Source organism: Homo sapiens, chromosome 7, assembly GCF_000001405.40.
Source record: "Homo sapiens chromosome 7, GRCh38.p14 Primary Assembly".
Taxonomy (NCBI): domain Eukaryota; kingdom Metazoa; phylum Chordata; class Mammalia; order Primates; family Hominidae; genus Homo; species Homo sapiens.
The window spans coordinates 159,294,662-159,311,558 of NC_000007.14; the positions used below are offsets into that span (position 1 = coordinate 159,294,662).

The 16,897-nt window shown below is 41.0% G+C and overlaps 1 annotated feature.

Moving 5' to 3' along the window:
* Positions 16,179-16,473: an enhancer, noted in NCBI's record as "tiled region #2850; HepG2 Activating DNase matched - State 6:EnhF, and K562 Activating non-DNase unmatched - State 5:Enh". NCBI's record gives its function as "activates a minimal TATA promoter and a strong SV40 promoter by Sharpr-MPRA in HepG2 cells, with weaker activation in K562 cells {active_cell/tissue: HepG2 | K562}" and the evidence as "EXISTENCE:reporter gene assay evidence [ECO:0000049][PMID:27701403]".

A 16,897-nucleotide genomic window follows, 5' to 3' on the forward strand; every position in this document is an offset into this window, starting at 1 on the left:
TGTGTTAGAGCACAGATTGCTGTAAATAAAGTGAGGGTTAGAGATACGGTTAGGGTTGGGGGTTAGGGGTTAGAGTTAGGGTTAGGGCGAGGGTGAGGATTAGAGTTAAGATTAGAATTTGGATTGAGGTGAGGTTGAAGTTCAGGGTGATGGTTAGGGTTAGGGTGAAGGTGAGGATGAAGGTGAGGGTTAGGGTTACAGTTTGCATTATGATGAGGGTAAGTGTGAAGGTGAGGGCTAGGGTGAGGTCATAGGTTACTATTGTTCAGGTTAATACTTTTCATGATTAGGGCAGAGATGAGTGATATGGCCTCTGGCAACCTCTCCCTGGATGCAGATTATGAGACAAGGATATTGGTGAAATTATTATTCAGCTATAATTTGCATATTATCCATTGAATAAAGGAGAGAAACCAAAACAGATGGAACAATCAGGGTGAGGTGTTGGGAGAAGCACTGGAGCCCTGCCTGGGCTTGGGCAGCTCAGAGCTTGGGTGATAGTGCTTCAGTGTTGCATAGAATCAGAATTCATCCTGACTGCAGGCATAGACAGTGGGTATTTTATCCTCCTTCAGACAGTGCGTGGCTTAGGTTGAGTTGTGGGATAAATTCCCAGGTGCTTTTACTCCTTTTGGGTGAATTGACCCGACACCCAGGGCAATTCTCTGATCCTCCAGCAACAATACACCAAGATCTATGGACAAGCAAGACCTGTGGGGTTTGGGAGGGGCCCAGGATGGAAACCAACCTGGGCAACCTGGGTTGGGGTCAGGGTTATAGACTGGAGAAGCTGAGGAACAGTGTCTTTGTATGATAAGGGTTGCTATAACCTGGTACGTGAGACTGCGTGATTTATAAATTTACTTGGCTCACAGTTCTGGAGGCTGGGAAGTGGGAGAAGCAGGCATAGCATCTGCTTGGTTTCCGGTGAGGGCCATGTGCTGGGTTAAAACATGGCAGAGAAGAGCCAGGGGGATTGGACACCTGCAAAGAGAGAGGCAAACGAAAGAACATCCTAGCTTTGCAACAAACCACGCTCACAGGTACTCATCTAGCATTGCCAGAGCAAGAACTCACTACCATGAGAAGGCAGCAAGCCGATGACGAGGTTCCACTCTAGATTCAAACACCTCCCACTAGGTCCCACCTGTCAACACCACCATGCCCAGACCACATATCAGCATGAGATTCAGGGAGGACAAACAAACCCCATCCACACCACAGCAAGCAGGGGAGGCAAGAAATGGGAAAAAATTGTCTTTTAAAAAGATTTACCATTCTCATTTGTGCATGAAGAAAGTGTTCCTGGTCTGGGCTCTAGGAGGACGGTGCTGTTGGTCTTCTCCACCTGCCTCTTAAGTCATCCTCCCACTTCTCCAGCTCTGCTCTGGGTCCTGAGAGGCTGGCCTCTGGGAGAATCACCCAGGTCCTGTTCCAGGATTTCAGCCAGAGGGAGGCACCGGCCATCAGAGGTGGGGAGGGCCTTGGTTTCCTCTGCTTCCTTCCTTCCAGTAGCGGGTTTTCAGAAAGGCTGGGTTTCTCTCTGGTGTTTCTCAACTTCAGCTGCACTAGCATTTCTACTCAACCATTCTCTGTGCTAGGGCTGCCCTGCAAATGAGAGGGTGTCGAGCAGCAGCCCTGCAGCACCCCCACCTGAGCCCACAGTGTCAGGCAGAATGACCCCATGGAGAAACAGCCCTCCAGAGTTCTGGGAGGGTCCAGCAGCCCATTCTCTCCTCACCCTTTGGCCCCGGGGTATTAAAGGGTTTCTGCTGTTGCTAGTCTGGGAGCATTTCACAGGCTTTTATTGTTTCTTTTGGCTTTGCCCACACTTCTGTAAATAAACCCTTGAGTTTGCCTTTTTTTTTTTTTTTCATTTGCTGGGATCTAACACAGCCCTTTTCCTACAGGTAAATGCCTACATGTTAGAACATATCTTAGAAATTACCATCAGCCAATCTTGCTTTAGAAAAAGAACTCATGACTATCTGAGTTTTAAACATGGTGACCAGAATTGAATTTGCAAATGTTTTGGTTCTAATATCTTGATAAAACACTAAAACTATAACATGACGGCTCACCATGAAATTAACATGGAATACTCACTGGGGTGGAGGAGAAGAGTAAATATGGCCCTTGACCCTGGTGGGCTGTCCACAATAACTGTTGCTCCGCCACTTTCTCAGCATTTTAGGGGCTACAGGACCCGGGCTCTGGCAGGCACTTGGTGAAAACTGGAAACAGCTGAAGAACCAAGCCTTGTCCCTCCTTGTGCAGGCCTAGATTCTACATCCACAGACTCAGATACTGAAGAACACTTAATGGTCTGGATGCTGGTTAAAGCTGTGATCTGCAAATATTTTCAACCATGCAGTGCTCTCAATGAAAACAAAGCATGCATCCAATAACTGTGCTTTTATTAATTAATTTTTCTCCTCCTAGACAATGGATTTTTTTTAAACTTTTAGGTTGCAGGGTACATGTGCAGGTTTGTTTTATAGGTAAACTTGTGTTGTGAGGGTGTGTTGTACAGATTATTTTCATCACCCAAGTATTAAGCCTAGCACTCATTGGTTATTTTTCCTGATTCTCTCCCTCCTCCCACCCTCCACCCTCTGATAAGCACAAGTCTCTGTTGTTTCCCTCTGTGTGTCCGTGTGTTCTCATCATTTAGCTCCCACTTACAAGTGAGAACATGTGGTATTTGGTTTTCTGTTTTGCTAAGGATAATGGCCTCCATCTCCATCCATGTTCCCACAAAAGACATGACCTCGTTCTGTTTTATGGCTCCATAGTAGTCCATGGTTTATATGTACCACATTTTCTTTATCCAGTCTACCACTGATGGGCATTTATGTTGATTTCCTGTCTTTGCTATTGTGCATAGTACTGCAATGAACATTCACGTGCATGTGTCTTTATCGTAGAATGATTTCTATTCCTCTGTGGATATATTCAGTAATGGAATTGATGAGTTGAATGGTAGATCTGTTTTTAATTCTTTGAGGAATTACCATACTGCTTTCCACAATAGTTGAACTAATTTACACTCCCACCAATAGTGTGCAAGCATTCCGTCTCCCTGTCACCTTGCCAGCACCTGTTAATTTTTGACATTTTAATAATAGCCATCCTGCCTGGTGTGAGATGGTGTCTCACAGTGGTTTTGATTTGCATTTCTCTAATGATCAGTGATGTTGAGCTTTTCTTTCTATGCTTTTTGGCTGCATATATGTCTTCCTTTGAAAAGTGCCTATTCATGTCCTCTGCTCACTTTTTTTATGGGTTTGTTTTTTTCTTGTAAATTTGTTAAGTTCCTTATGGAAGCCAGATATTAGACCTTTGTCAGATGGATATATTTCAAAGATTTTCTCCTAACTACTCACAAGGCTGAGGCAGGAGAATTTCTTGAACCCAAGAGGTGGAGATTGCAGTGAGCCAAGATCACACCACTGCACTCCAGCCTGGGTGACAGAGTGAGATTTTGTCTCAAAAAAAAAAAAAAAAAAGAAAGGTAGCCATATATAGATATTTGATTTATTAAAATATAGAGAAATGGTATTATGAAAGTGCCAGCAGAGCATATTTCTATGGAAAGTATTTACCATTCAACAAATAGTACCAGGACCATTTGTTTATCCATGTGCAAAGTAAAACTGGGTCCTAACTTCACACCATTTACAAAAATGAATTTAAGGTAGCTTAAAGAAAAATGTGAGGGGTGAAGCCAAGATGGCTGAATAGGAACAGCTCCAGTCTAGAGCTCCCAGCATGAATGATGCAGAAGATGGGTGATTTCTGCATTTCCAACTGAGGTACTGGGCTCATCTCACTAGGGAGTGTCAGAAAGTGGGTGCAGGACAGTGGGTGCAGTGCACCACCATAAGCCAAAGCAGGGTGAGGCATCGCCTCACCTGGGAAGTGCAGGGGGTCAGGGAATTCCCTTTCCTAGTCAAAGAAAGGGGTGACAGATGGCACCTAGAAAATCAGGTCACTCCCACCCTAATACTGTGCATTTCCAATGGTCTTAGCAAACGGCACACCAGGAGATTATATCCCGTGCCTGGCTCAGAGGTTCCTACACCCAAGGAGTCTTGCTCATTGCTAGCACAGCAGTCTGAGATCAAACTGCAAGGGGCAGTGAGGCTGGGGGAAGGGCACCCGCCATTGCTGAGGCTTGAGTAAGTAAACGAAGTGGCTGGGAAGCTCGAATTGGGGGGAGCCCACCACAGCTCAAGGAGGCCTGCCTGCCTCTGTAGACTCCACCTCTGGGGGCAGGGAACAGCCAAACAAAAGGCAGCAGAATCCTCTGCAGACTTAAATGTCCCTGTCTGACAGCTTTGAAGAGAGTAGTAGTTCTCCCAGCACGCAGCTGGAGATCTAAGAACAGACAGACTGCCTCCTCAAGTGGATCCCTGACCCCTGAGTAGCCTAACTGGGAGGGACCCCCCAGTAGGGGCAGACTGACACTTCACACAGCGAGGTACCCCTCTGAGACGAAACTTCCAGAGGAACTATCAGGCAGCAACCTTTTCTATTCAGCAATATTCACTGTTCCACAGCCTCCACTGCTGATACCCAGGCAATCAGGGTCTGGAGTGGACCTCCAGCAAACTCCAACAGACCTGTAGCTGAGGGTCCTGACTGTTAGAAGGAAAACTAACAAACAGGAAGGACATCCACACCAAAACCCCATCTGTACATCACCATCATCAAAGACCAAAGGTAGATAAAACCACAAAGATGGGGAAAAAACAGAGCAGAAAAACTGGAAACCCTAAAAATCAGAGCACCTCTCCTCCTCCAAAGGAATGCAGCTCCTCACCAGCAGTGGAACAAAGCTGGACAGAGAATGACTTTGACGAGTTGAGAGAAGGCGGCTTCAGATGATCAAACTACTCCAAGCTAAAGGAGGAAGTTCGAACCCATGGCAAAGAAGTTAAAAACCTTGAAAAAAAGTTAGATGAATGGCTAACTAGAATAACCAATGCAGAGAAGTCCTTAAAGGACCTGATGGAGCTGAAAACCAAGGCACCAGAACTATGTGATGAATGCACGAGCCTCAATAGCTGATTTGATCAACTGGAAGAAAGGGTATCAGTGATGGAAGATCAAATGAATGAAATGAAGCGAGAAGAGAAGTTTAGAGAAAAAAAGAATAAAAAGAAATGAACAAAGCCTCCAAGAAATATGGGACTATGTGAAAAGACCAAATCTACGTCTGATTGGTGTACCTGAAAGTGACAGGGAGAATGGAACCAAGTTGGAAAACACTCTGCAGGATATTATCCAGGAGAACTTCCTCAAACTAGCAAGGCAGGCCAACATTCAAATTCAGGAAATACAGAGAATGCCACAAAGATACTCCTCGAGAAGAGCAACACCAAGACACATAATTGTCAGATTCACCAAAGTTGAAATGAAGGAAAAAATGTTAAGGCAGCCAGAGAGAAAGGTCGGGTTACCCACAAAGGGAAGCCCATCAGACTAACAGCTGATCTCTCAGCAGAAAATCTACAAGCCAGAAGAGAGTGGGAACCAATATTCAACATGCTTAAAGAAAAGAATTTTCAAACCAGAATTTCATATCCAGCCAAACTAAGCTTCATAAGTGAAGGAGAAATAAAATCCTTTGCAGGGAAGCAAATGCTGGGAGATTTTGTCACCACCAGGCCTACCCTAAAAGAGCTCCTGAAGGAAGCACTAAACATGGAAAGGAATGACTGGTACCAGCCACTGCAAAAACATGCCAAATTGTAAAGACCATCGAGGCTAGGAAGAAACAGCATTAACTAATGAGCAAAATAACCAGCTAACATCATAATGACAGGATCAAATTCACACATAACAATATGAACCTTAAATGTAAATGGTCTAAATGCTCCAATTAAAAGACACAGACTGGCAAATTGGATAAAGAGTCAAGACCCATCAGTGTGCTGTATCCAGGAAACCCATCTCACATGCAGAGACACACATAGGCTCAAAATAAAGGGGTGGAGGAAGATCTACTGAGCAAATGGAAAACAAAAAAAGGCAGGGGTTGCAATCCTAGTCTCAGATAAAACAGACTTTAAACCAACAAAGATCAAAAGAGACAAAGAAGGCCATTACATAATGGTAAAGGGATCAATTCAACAAGAAAAGCTAACTATCCTAAATATATATGCAGCCAATACAGGAGCACCTAGATTCATAAAGCAAGTCCTTGGAGACCTACAAAGAGACTTAGACTCCCACACAATAATAATGGGAGACTTTAACATCCCACTGTCAACATTAGACAGATCAACGAGACAGAAAGTTAACAAGGATACCCAGGAATTGAACTCAGCTCTGTACCAAGTGGACCTAATAGACATCTACAGAACTCTCCACCCCAAATCAACAGAATATACATTTTTCTCAGCACCACACCACACTTATTCCAAAATTGACCACATAGTTGGAAGTAAAGCACTCCTCAGCAAATGTAAAAGAACAGAAATTATAAGAAACTGTCTCTCAGACCACAGTGCAATCAAGCTAGAACTCAGGATTAAGAAACTCACTCAAAACCACTCAACTACATGGAAACTGAACAAACTGCTCCTGAATGACTATTGCATACATAACGAAATGAAGGTAGAAATAAAGATGTTCTTTGAAACCAATGAGAACAAAGACACAACATACCAGAATCTCTGGGACACATTCAAAGCAGTGTGGGGAGGGAAATTTATAGCACTAAATGCCCACAAGAGAAAGCAGGAAAGATCTAAAATTGACACCCCAACATCACAATTAAAAGAACTAGAGAAGCAAGAGCAAACACATTCAAAAGCTAGCAGAAGGCAAGAAATAACGAAGATCAGAGCAGAACTGAAGGAAATAGAGACACAAAAAACCCTTCAAAAAATTAATGAATCCAGGAGCTGGTTTTTTGAAAGGATCATCAAAATTGATAGACCACTAGCAAGACTAACAAAGAAGAAAAGAGAGAAGAACCAAATAGATGCAATAAAAAATGATAAAGGGGATATCACCACCGATCCCACAGAAATAAACTACCATCAGAGAATACTATAAACACCTCTATGCAAATAAACTAGAAAATCTAGAAGAAATGGATAAATTCTTCGACACATACACCCTCCCAAAACTAAACCAGGAAGAAGTTGAATCTCTGAATAGACCAATAACAGGCTCTGAAGTTGAGGCAATAATTAATAGCTTACCAACCGAAAAAAGTCCAGGACCAGATGGATTCACAGCCGAATTCCACCGTAGGTACAAGGAGGAGCTGGTACCATTCCTTCTGGAATTATTCCAATCAATAGAAAAAGAGGGAATCCTCCCTAACTCATTTTATGAGGCTAGCATCATCCTGACACCAAAGCCTGGCAGAGACACAAAAAAACAAAGAGAATTTTAGACCAATATCCCTGATGAACATTGACACAAAAATCCTCAATAAAATACTGGCAAACCAAATCTAGCAGCACATCAAAAAGCTTATCCACCATGATCAAGTGGGCTTCATCCCTGGGATGCAAGGCTGGTTCAATATATGAAGATCAATAAATGTAATCCAGCATATAAACAGAATCAATGACAAAAATCTTATGATTATCTCAATAGATGCAGAAAAGGCCTTTGACAAAATTCAACAACACTTCATGCTAAAAACTCTCAATAAATTAGGTATTGATGGGATGTATCTCAAAATAATAAGAGCTATCTATGACAAACCCACAGCCAATATCATACTGAAGGGACAAAAACTGGAAGCATTCCCTTTGAAAACTTGCACAAGACAGGGATGCCCTCTCTCACCACTCCTACTCAACATAGTGTTGGAAGTTCTGGCCAGGGCAATCAGGCAGGAGACAGAAATAAAGGGTATTCAATTAGGAAAAGAGGAAGTCAAATTGCCTCTGTTTGCAGATGACATGATTGTATATCTAGAAAACCCCATCGTCTTAGCCCAAAATCTCCTTAAGCTGATAAGCAAATTCAGCAAAGTCTCAGGATACAAAATCAATGTGCAAAAATCACAAGAATTCTTATATACCAATAACAGACAAACAGAGAGCCAAATCATGAGTGAACTCCCATTCACAATTGCTTCAAAGAGAATAAAATACCTAGGAATCCAGCTTACAAGGGACGTGAAGGACCTCTTCAAGGAGCTACAAACCACTGCTCAATGAAATAAAAGAGGATACAAACAAATGGAAGAACATTCCGTGCTCATGGGTAGGAATAATCAATATCGTAAAAATGGCCATACTGCCCAAGGTAATTTATACATTCAATGCCACCCCCATCAAGCTACAAATGACTTTCTTCACAGAAGTGGATAAAACTACTTTAAAGTTCATATGGAACCAAAAAAGAGCCTGCATTGCCAAGTCAATCCTAAGCCAAAAGAACAAAGCTGGAGGCATCACACTACCTGACTTCAAACTATACTACAAGGCTACAGTAACCAAAACAGCATGGTACTGGTACCAAAACAGAGATATAGACCAATGGAACAGAACAGAGCCCTCAGAAATAATGCCACATATCTACAACCATCTGATCTGTGACAAACCTGACAAAAACAAGAAATGGGGAAAGGATTCCCTATTTAATAAATGGTGCTGGGAAAACTGGCTAGCCATATGTAGAAAGCTAAAACTGGATCCCTTCCTTACACCTTATACAAAAATTAATTCAAGATGGATTAAAGACTTAAATGTTAGACCGGAAACCATAAAAACCCTAGAAGAAAACCTAGGCAATACCATTCAGGACATAGGCATGGGCAAGGACTTCATGTCTAAAACACTAAAAGCAATGGCAACAAAAGCCAAAATTGACAAATGGGATCCAATTAAACTAAAGAGCTTCGGCACAGCAAAAGAAACCACCATCAGAGTGAACAGGCAATCTACAGAATGGGAGAAAATTTTTGCAATCTACTTATCTGACAAAGGGCTAATATCCAGAATCTACAATGAACTCAAACAAATTTACAAGAAAAAAAACAAACAACCCCATCAAAAATGGGCGAAGGATATGAACAGACACTTCTCAAAAGAAGACATTTATGCAGCCAAAAGACACATGAAAAAATGCTCATCATCACTGGCCATCAGAGAAATGCAAATCAAAACCACAGTGAGATACCATCTCACACCAGTTAGAATGGTGATCATTAAAAAGTCAGGAAACAACAGGTGCTGGAGAGGATGTGGAGAAATAGGAACACTTTTACACTGTTGGTGGGACTGTAAACTAGTTCAACCATTGTGGATGTCAGTGTGGTGATTCCTCAGGGATCTAGAACTAGAAATACCATTTGACCCAGCCATCCCATTACTGGGTATATACCCAAAGGATTATAAATCATGCTGCTATGAAGACACATGCACACGTATGTTTATTGCGGCGCTATTCACAATAGCAAAGACTTGGAACCAACCCAAATGTCCAACAATGATAGACTGGATTAAGAAAATGTGGCACATATACACCATAGAATACTATGCAGCCATAAAAAATGATGAGTTCATGTCCTTTGCAGGGACATGGATGAAGCTGGAAACCATCATTCTCAGCAAACTATCACAAGGAGAAAAAACCAAACACCGCATGTTCTCACTCATAGGTGGGAATTGAACAATGAGAACACATAGGCACAGGAAGAACATCACACACTGGGGCCTGTTGTGGGGTGGGAGGAGGGGGGAGGGATAGCATTAGGAGATATATCTAATGTTAAATGATGAGTTAATGGGTGCAGCACACCAACATGGCACCTGTATACATATGTAACTAACCTGCACATTGTGCACATGTACCCTAAAACTTAAAGGATAATAAAAAAAAGAAAAATGTGAAAGGCAAAACTTTAAGAAGAAAACATAGAACTACCTCTATGATCTCATGGTAGAGGATTTTTAAAATAAGACACAAAAGCACTAACCATAAAAGAAATAACAGATAAACTTGACTTCATAGCATTAATAACTTATCTTTATGAAAAAACAAATAAGCAAACAAAAAACACTTTGACAAAAGCAAAAATGCAGGCCTCAGATTGGGAGCAAATGTTAGCTATGATACATATGACAAATGTATATCATTTTATATATGTGTGTGTATACACACAAACCCTTATGTACTGCAGGTAGAAATATCATTTCCTTCAACTAGTTAGGAAAACAATATAGCAGTAATCTAATAAACTTTATGTGGTACATTTTCTATAACCTTATACTCCCAGTCCTAGGTTTCAATGAGAGAAATCATGCATATATATACTTTGAGATATGGTGTAAGAATATTTGAAGCCCTGTGGTTTGTAATAGTAGAAATCTGGAAGTACCCAAAGATCTGTCAACAAAAGAATGGGCAAATAATTCAGAAGTATTCACATGATGTAATAGTATGTATCAGGAAAAACAAATAATGTACAGCTATTCATATCAACAAGAATAAATCTCCAAAGCATAACATTGAAGGAATAAAGTCATGAAGGAATACACATAGTGAAAGAAACTACTTGTAATGTGTTCTAAAACATGTAATACTCTACAACTGCAACTCATCATTTAGAGATATATATATATGTTGTAAAACTGTAACGAAAACAATGGAACTATAAACACAAATCTGGTTGTGGTTACTTCTAGGAAGAGGCAGGGGATGTGACTAGAAAGGAGCCCACAGAGGGTTCGGATGCCGGGGCTGGGGGGTTGTTTGCAGATTCCTAACACATTGATACTAACATCTGTTTACTCAGCTGGCTTGTCCTTAAATGCACTATGTAATCACATGATATGTATCATATACATTCTTTAGTATTTTTCAGAGTTTTCATAACCAAACAAAGAAAAACATTTGTGCCTGACCAATACCTATCCCTAAGTAGGTTACATATTTTATAGGCAGAACAGTCACCAAAAATTATAATATATGAGGCTTTGACCCAATTACACTACCAAACATCCCCCATTAAATTTTTCCTGTGGATTTAAAACTCTATCTGTAGGAATCCTGCTTCCATATAAGATTTTTTTCTGGAAGGGATATATTACCTTTTTAGTGTATTGTCTACTTCAGTGTATCATAAACTGCCACTAAAACAGCCAAGGAAAGAAGTAATGGGAGGGCCACATGTCCTCCAGGTTAATAGAGATGGGAGGAAAGGGCCAGGGGCATAATGTTATTCAGTGTGGGTGGACTGGCGTCCTGAACTCACAGTGACCCCATTGGAGAAGCAGCAAAAGTGCAAAAAACACAGGAAAGGAGAGATGGGAAAGTAACAAACCATTGCTGCCACCTTCACAGGCTGCCCTGCAGAAAATGCACAAGGTAATGCCCACTGTCATGTTGGGACATTATTTTTTGCATGAAAGAAGCTGGCCAGGAAAAACATTAAATAGGAAATAAGTTTTATAGCTTTATAACCAAACAGCATGGTGAGCTACATGTCACCTGCACTCATGGTGACAGCACCATCAGAACCCCAGGGACTAGGCCTCTCACCCCACCAGCTTGCAGTCAGTGACTAAGCCATAGGTCTGTGTAGGACTCCTCACACCCTGCACCTTCTCACCTCAGCTTCCCACTGCTACGGTGTGGCTACGGTTTGTTCATCCCCACCAAATCTCATGTTGAAATTTGATCCCCAGTGTGGTGGTATTGACAGGTTGGGCCTAGTGGAAGGTTTCTGGGTCATGGAGGTGGACACCTCATGAATGGCTTGGTGCAATTCTTGTTCTTGAGATGCTGGTTTGGTTCTTAGTGTAATTACTTCCCTTGAGAGTTCTTATAAAGCCAGGCAGTCCCTCAGGTTTGGTGCCTGCAGAACTTAAATTAAATAAACCCCTTTTCTTTATAAATTGCCCAGCTTCAGGTGTTTCCTTATAGCAACACAAAATGGACATGCCCTCTGCTAGTCTCAATTTATGCCAATTACTGGAATAAACAAATAGCAAGGGAGATTAATCATTGAACAGTGCTTAGCCTATTTTCTGCTGCTATAACAGAATACCACAGACTGGGTAATTTATACAGAAAAGAGATTTATTTCTTACAGTTCTGGAGGTGGGGAAGTCCAAAATCATTGTGCCGGCATGTAGCAAACGTCATCTCATGGGGCAAGGGTAGAAGCAGAAGTGAATGCATGAGACAGAGAGAGGAAATTGGGCTGAACTTTTCCTTTTATTGGGATTCCACTCTCTTAATAACAGTATTAATGCATTCATTACCTTCATGAGCCTTCATGACTTAATCATCTCTTAAAGGTCCCACTTTCTGTAAATTCTGATACAATGGCAAGTATATTTCAACACGAACTCTGGAGGGGACACTGAAACACAGCACACAGCCAAGCTTCTTTGACCAAGCTGACTACAGGATGCCCTTGATGGAGAGACCAGGGATCATCACCTTCAAGTTCCTGGTCCTTCTTCTTGAACTAAAGACTCCTTGGCTTTGCTCATGTTGGCTTTAGCCACCAGTTGCTTTACAGCCTCCCACACTCAGTCTCTCAGCTTAGGTATCAGAAGATACTTCCATTTTTTAAAAATTATTTAGCTCTCTCATGACCTCCTGTCAGCAGATCTACCTCGCACCTCATTTCCTTAGGCTGATACCTAATGATGCTCCAACCCCACGGAGGGGCATCTAGCTAACTGGTACTAAATAACAGTCACTTAAAAGGTAGTTTAAATTTCACACATTAAGACATACATGTTTGTGCAAGGCAGAGGTTTTCTTTCTTGTTGACTGTATTTTCAGGTTGTAGTTACAGATACCCATTAACAAGCCTGCCTTCTGAAATAAGATTATCTCAGTCAAGTATTCTCTTTGTTATGTGTGGCATCATCAGACACATCTGCAATGATCCCAAAAAAAGATATGATCAGAACCACATTTATTTAAATATGCAAAATGCTGCAGGAGAGCTATTGGCTGATGCATAAATACAAATTCTGTTTCCATCTATGAGAATTGGAGTGAGGACGGGGAGTCACAACCATCCACAAGTGACACTGACTTAATAACATAGAAAATGTTTCAGATTTCTCATGTACTGGGGAAGACAAGAGTGGTGAGCACAATCAGGGTAATAAAACATCCCTCAGCTCAAAGAGATAATTCTAATATCATATATTGTGCATGGAGTAGTGAAGGCCAAATACAAGCAACTTCACATCAGTACATAGCCTACACAAGACAGCCACAAGTCAGGAAAGGGTTGTATTGCATTAGCAAATGATTGAATTAATAGCTAATGATCTCCTAGAAGAATTATATTAAAGACTTTTAATTGACACTTTATCAACCATAATCAACTCTTTTTTTTCATTGCTCTGCTCATTTATGTTCCAATGAATAAGACTCAAAATCCTGAGGCAGCTTAAAGTATATTTTACATCAGTCACCATGGTCAGTGTAGCATACATTTTATGATTTGAAAATTTGTAATAGCCTTTCATAGGCTAATTGCTGAGCCCTCTACCAGAGCTAAGAAAAGAGTGCACAGTTTTGTACATTGAAAGAAAAGGCAAAACACAGTAAGGCAAGCAGCAGTAAAATGAGACAGCTGTGTCCAGCTCCCCAGCAACCCCTGCCAAGAAAGCCCTTTATATGAAAATGAACATTTGACAAGAAAGCATATTAAAGTATTAGCTTTTTCATTCAGCATAGGGCATCTCTTTATTTTAAAAAAATCTTAGGATTGCTCTAATAATAAATTGCCTAATGTGTGGACAGCATGATTCCATTTGTAAAATGTCTATTTAGCATTGCTTTTCAAAGGCATGTCATTGCTTTGTGAGATGTACTCTGAGGTTAAAAGATGCTTTCCCTAAGAAACACTAGCTATGGAGTAACTGTCCTACAGTGAAATGATCTAATAATAATAATAATAATTGGACTTAATGATTTTGCATCATTCCTACTGACTTTAATCAGACTTCCAAATTATTTTGTGTTATGGAAAATTTCAAACTTGGCATTTGAGAATCAATCTAAAGTTTTTTTTTTTTTTTTGAAAAGTGTGATTTTCTCTAATTTGGTGTTGACTTACATCAGGATTTAGTAAACGGGCCTAAACAAGTTCTTCCACAGGGAAAGGTAAAGTGAATCAAAGAGGACATTTAATGAGTGGTCAGCTTGAATCCCAGTGGGTGGGGCTGGTGATATCTGAAATCTACATCACTTCATGATCACTCAACAAATCATGTTGGCTGATTTATGCTGTGGAATAGTCAGTGGTCTTCAAATGAGAATGCATGTTGTTGGGGATATGGGAAGACCTTCCAGGGACATGAATAGTTTTAAGGGAGTCATTTTCTAGATTCTCAACTTCCACATGTGTTCGTTGGTCAGAGGGAACTGCCTTCAGATGCACTTGGGATGGAGGTGCAGCCTCTGCACACTAACAGCAAATTCAAAATACAAATATTGATCCAGGAAAGTGACTGAGATGACTGAGTGACAAATCTCATGCTGATCAGATAGTTTCCAAGCCGTTTCTTTCAACAAAATTCATGAAGGTCATTTAGGTATTAGCTCACTGTATTAGTCCATTCTTCCATTGCTATAAAGAACTATCTGAGACTGAGTAATTTATAAAGAAGAAAGGTTTAATTGGCTCGTGGTTCACAGGCTGTACAGGAAGTATGGCTAAGGAGGTCTCAGGAAACTTGCAATCATGGTGGAAGGCAAAGAGGAAGGAGACATTCTATGTGGCTGGAGCAGGAGAAAGAGAGAGCAAAGGGGGAAGTGCTACACACTTTTAAATAAGCAGATCTCACGAGAGCACACTCACCATCACAAGAACAGCAAGGTGGAAGTCTGCCTCTATGATCTAGTCACTTCCCACCAGGTCCCTCTTCCAACACTGAGGACCACAATTTGGCATGAGATTTGGGTGGGGGCACAGATCCAATCTACAGTGTGAATTGCTCAGTGTGAAAGTTACAGTGGAACATTTCAAATGAACAACACTGCATTTGAAGAAGTGCACTTGAAAATGAGGGCTCCCGAATTAGTCTCATCTAGGGATACCTATTGATATGCAGAAGCTTCTAAAAAGATTTCAATATTTTTATTTAAAGACTCTTTATAAAAAGCAAATAAAAAGCCTAAGTGACTAATTGATAAGAAAAATTAAATTTGCTAATCTTTTGGCTTGGTCATCATCCTACCTTGAAGGTGAAAAGAAAGTTATCCTAGATAGAGTGTTTTTAAAAGGTAGGCTCTCAGGTAAAGTAGGTTCTTGCTTCTCTTTCAGATCTATCCATGCTGAGTCCAGGCATAGAAAGTGCTTTCTTTGCCCTATTCTTTAAGGGGCTCCATCATAAACTCAGTAATTTTATCTAAGAAACAGTAGCTAAGTTAAAAAAGACCACCTATCAAACTAAAGTACACCCTTCTGGAATTTAGCTGGCTATCTTGAAATCCTTTTGTAAAATAATTTCACACTTATAAAGGAAATCTCCATTTTTATGGTGTCTGTCTATGTATATTAGAAACTCTTACCATTGTTTTAAATTCACACAACAAATCATACCTTTGTTTAAAGTTCTTTTCTGGCCATCTTGTCTTAAGTGAACTTCTACTTATACCTTTTTTCCCTTGTTTGAGCAAATAGTACATTATTTAGGCCTAAAGGCTTAGCTCTGTGCTTATAAAATATAACTTTTTGTTTCACCTAAGAGTTGTCCCTTTAGAAATGTGAATTTATTGCCTAGTAAATTATTTCTTAGGGTAATGAAACAAGCAATTGGAAGATTGATAGTTTGAATGAGGAAGAGAAAGCTATTTAAAAGCCAGCAAATGAGAATCCTTTATGAAAGCGATAAGATCTGCTTCTATGTGTTTGTGTGTCTGTAGGTATTCTGTGTATGTGATAATATTTGGTAAATAAAGCGAGTGTTGTGGTCTTCCAGCTCCTTAGCTCAGCTAGGTCCAAGTTCTTGTCCCACAACGAGGAAGAATTAGGCACACAGACACCAGAGAGTGAGTAGGGTAAAGCAGAATTTGTTAAGTGAAAGGAGAGCACTCATCAAAGACAGGGATCCTGAAAGCATGTTGCCATTTCACAGTTGAATACAAGGGCTTTCACAGAAAAGCTGATGGGGGTGGGTTCCTTATTTGCATAAGATGTTAATTTCTGGCAGCTCCACCCCATCTTTCCAGTGCACATATGGACCCTTAGTCTAAGCCACTCCATACTGATTTATTTCCCTTACTGTCCATGTGTTAAGGAATGGAATTTTCCACCATGGGCTTATGTAGGCAAGTCTCCTGTGTAGCTTCTCTTATCTGTGTAACTGAGGGCATGTTTAGGCAAGTACCCTGTGCGATTTCCCTTATCTGTACAAAACATTTGGTGTAAGCACTTGTGGTATGTTTGGATTGGGCAATGACCTGGACAGGTCCAAGGTTCTCCAGGGACCCCCCGACCCCACTTACCATATGCCTAAAGCAAGCTGGCTAACTCCTCTCACTAGCTTTTACATTGTTGGTAAAATAGGAATGACTTTAAAATTACCAGTTAAATATAAGTAGATACTTGCTTGATTTGACTGTCAGCTTACAGTTTTGGTTTAGAGCCTCTGGATTCAGCGATCTGGATGGATGGTCATGGTGAGGTCTGGAGACATGTTGTCAGTGCCTAGACCAGCAGCTACAAGGCAGAATCAAGCCCAATATGGCCCCTTCTTCCCTGCCCTAGCTTTGCCTCCTGGCTATTCTGGGAGGGGTTGGATACTCCAGGTATAGTCTTCATAGCTCTGTCTTTTATGAAGACCTCTATGCCTGGTATGTGAATTCAGGACTCAAACAGGCTCTGCTTTTCATAGCCCTCCTGGGTGCCACATGGCTATGTGGCACCCAGGATGACTGG